This window comes from Homo sapiens, chromosome 16, assembly GCF_000001405.40.
Source record: "Homo sapiens chromosome 16, GRCh38.p14 Primary Assembly".
In the NCBI taxonomy this organism is placed as follows: domain Eukaryota; kingdom Metazoa; phylum Chordata; class Mammalia; order Primates; family Hominidae; genus Homo; species Homo sapiens.
In genome coordinates, this window is record NC_000016.10 from 62,592,038 (window position 1) to 62,595,914 (window position 3,877).

Genomic DNA, 3,877 nt, shown 5'->3' on the forward strand with positions numbered 1-3,877 from the left:
TGCACTCCAGCCTGGACAATAGCAAGAGCAAAAGTCCATCTCAAAAAAAAAAAAAAAAAAAAGCTTTCTCAAAGTTTCACCTTTCTCTAAGGAGGAAACAGCATTAGACTTTACAAGATTTCTTAAAGAAAATTGTGGAAAATACTTACTGAAATGTTTTTACTTTGGCTGGCAGGCATATACGTATTTTAAAAAAATATAATTAGACTATGTGCCTTAAGCAGCTCAAGAATATTCACAGAAGAATGTAAGCACAGGTCTTTTAAAATAAGAAAACAAAACTAATAATACATAATTGAAATAGTCATCATTAAATACATAAGGTATTTAATTATATCAAATATTTCTTAAAGTCTATTTTTTCCTTACCTATTCACCCAACCTACATCTATCATTGTTCTCTTATGCTTACGTCTTTTCATGTAGTCAAAGGAGCACAAATATAGAGTGAGAAATCTTAGTGTCATATAACTCCCACTTTATTCCTGTATCCTCATGAACTTTTATTCAATTTTCTTAACTTACCAAAAATTCTCATTTTTTCTCATCTATCAATTGAGGATGAAAAAGTATCTGTAGGAAAACTGAATAAAATAATTATGAGATGCTTTGTAGGAGCTTATAATGTTGTATGTATATCTAATATATTATCATATGTTAATATATAATATAAAATATATATTACTTGTGCATCTATATATAAAAATCACAAAATTGAATATCAATTTTTTTTTGTTTTTCTTAAATTTTGGAAAAGCTGTCAATGACTGGTGCTTGTATTTTGTTATCTTACCTAATGGAAACTTTCAGAAAATTTCATTTAAAATACCTTATAAAATAGAAAATACTAGGATTAATCTCAGTGGTATGTTATGAAGATAAAATGATACTTTAAAGTGCTTAGAGCCAAGCTAGGCCCATCGAAAGCATTCAATAAATGCCAGCTATTTCGATAATTATCAGGATTGCCACTACTCATCAATTGATTATTAACTTTCGGGTTGCTTATTCCTACAGTTTGGTTCTCTTTAGCTTTTCCTTCCTTTGATCTCTCTCTGAGCTGGTGTCAACCCAATATTTCTCAATTTCAGTGGGAATCTTTTTACTTGCCTGGTCAAACACTGGTTAGGTCCCCCAAAGTCTTTCTTCTTTTGCCATTCAAGGCTCTCTACACTCTGGTTGCCATCTTCACCCTGCAGATTTAGCTGTCTGTGCTAAGCACACTCCAACAACACTCAGGGTATACCCCCAAGACAATACACACCCCCAGATATTCTCTGTGCCTTATACTTTAACATAAGAATTGGTCTCCTTTCCCCAAAACCTTTTAACTCCTTCTTTTCTGCTTGTTAAACACCTACAAGGCTTAGAAGGGACAATCTATTATTCAATACAATCTGATTTCTGTAAAAATACAAAGAATAGCTCCAAATCTAAAGGTCTCATGTAATAAAAGCTGTGCACATATGGCCCAGTGAGTCAGAATACAGCCAACATGAAAGACAAAAAGGCTGGAGGATCGCATGGAAGTTTTATTGTCTAGATGGTGTCACAAAACACTTCCAGCCACATTTCAAGGGCCACATGTTGTCAAATGATCCTATTTACTACAAGGGAGATTGGAAAAATGTAGTGTTCCTGGGTGCAGCGGATTAAAATGTAACAGGGTTAGCAAAAGCATTTTTGCCACCACATTACAAAGAGCTTACTAAAATCCTCAAATATTCTGTATCATTTATCTGAGTCAGAAGGAATTGCTTACCCCTTTAAGCTTCCGTGGCCTACCTTATGGCATTAATCTCTTTGAGATGCACGTTGTTGCTGGACTTGGGTCTAATTTCTCCTGGACAGTGAAGAGTTTAAGAATGGCTTCCCATCCATTGCACATCTGCTATTAGGCCTCCAACATAGAACTTCTGCGAAACTACTGTTAAAAGGAAGGAGCAGAAAGACAGATAAAGGAGGAAGATGTGGAAGATGAAGAAGAGGTAGATGAAGAAGAAAGGGAAGAGGCCGGGCGTGGTGGCTCACACCTGTAATCCCAGCACTTTGGGAGGCTGAGGCGGGCAGATCACAAGGTCAGGAGATCGAGACCATCCTGGCTAACACGGTGAAACCCCTTCTCTACTAAAAATACAAAAACTTAGCCAGTCTTGATGGCAGGCACCTGTAGTCCCAGCTACTCGGGAGGCTGTGGCAGGAGAATGGCGTGAACCTGGGAGGCGGAGCTTGCAGTGAGCCGAGATTGAGCCACTGCACTCCAGCCTGCGTGACACAGCGAGACTCCATCTCAAAAAAAGGAAGGGGAAGAGAGGAAGAAAGAAGAGAAGGAAATTCAGGAGGAGAAAACAGGAAAGAAATTTTTTTCAAATATTTAAAATATACCAGTGTTTGTATGTGTTCCTGTGTGTGTGTTTGGTGTATGTACCTAATTTAAAAATAAAGCTCAAAAAAACTTTAGTAATTTGTATGGGATATGATTAAATTACAGAGCTATTTTGTTCTAGTTTTGTTTTTAAAAAGCATTACTAATGTAAGAGTAAGGTATGTGAATTATAAAATTTATCTCATTACCGTAGTAACATTTTATACCTACATGCGAAATGATTATACTGCAGAATCCATTCATTGCATGTCTATAAAGAGAAGATTAAGCTAATCTTAAGGACTAGAATCAAGACAGCAACTGCAGGAAATTTCATGTTATACTGTAGAATGAGTCTGAAGTCTCTGGTGAGAGAGTTTTGCTATAATGTTTTGGGAAGCAGTTCTCCAATCAGAATCATTTTCAGAAGTGACCATATAGAACAATGTCATACAATTGAGTCTAATATTCGCTGAGCAGCAACTCTGTCTGACAATTCCTGCCATCCATGCCTTGGAGAAAATGAGCCACAGACAAATATATGCCTGACTGTTTTCAAGTCAAATGGGGGATTAATTTTTGAGATATTCAGTTTTCAAACAAGAACAAATCCATTGAAGTTCTGTGACATGTGAATAGAGAGAGAAAGAAAGAAGAGAAAGAAGAGCAAAGAGTAAGAAAAGAAAGCAAAAGAAAAACATAAGTAGTATATGGGGTATTTCCAAATCAGATTAGTGATTTTGTGACCTTGCCATGCGCCTTACGAGTTAAATAATCACTCTTCATACATTATGGTATTTAACAATTAGCTCATGGAACACAAAATGACATCCTCAATTTACAGATATAGAGACTCATGGATGTCCTCCATAACACCTATGTAGAAAAATCCCAGCACTTATATTATTTTTGGAGATCAGTTTTAGCTGGCATATAGAGGTTGCGCCCAAACTGTGTCCCGTAGTTTACTTTTTATTTTTTATTTTTTGAGGCAGAGTCTCACTCTGTTGCCCAGGCTGGAGTGCAGTGGCATAATCTCAGCTCCGTGCAACTCTGCCTCCCAGACTCAAGCGATTCTCGTGCCTCAGCTTCCTGAGTAGCTAGGATTACAGGCATGTGCCACCACCTTCAGGTAATATATTTCACTTTTTTGTGTAAAGGGCCAAATTCCACCTCATTTTAATGCTAAAAATCTGCCCCAAAGTAAACACGGGATGTATGTTACATGTGTGTTTACCGGTTGTGCATGTGTCCAACTCCCCTTCATAAATAAGTGCAGCTTTCCCCCCAAACCTGGTGAATATGTATGACTGTGTGGTGTGATATAGGCCCTACCTGTGAGGCATAAAACCCAACTTGTCCCTTTTCATCTTCAAAGAGGGTGCACCTTTGGTTCACACCACAGACTATCTCTTCCTGGTTTGCAAACTGATAACACCAATCAAGCTCTCCTTCCTGCTATTCAATCATCCTGGTGGTCTTTAGGATGACAATATGAATCTCCTTTTCAAT

General features: G+C 37.3%; 1 annotated feature.

Annotated features, from left to right (window-relative positions):
- Positions 3,262-3,433: a silencer, noted in NCBI's record as "fragment chr16:62629203-62629374 (GRCh37/hg19 assembly coordinates)". NCBI's record gives its function as "represses an EF-1alpha promoter that drives an FKBP-Casp9 reporter gene in an ReSE screen in K562 erythroleukemia cells {active_cell/tissue: K562}" and the evidence as "EXISTENCE:reporter gene assay evidence [ECO:0000049][PMID:32094911]".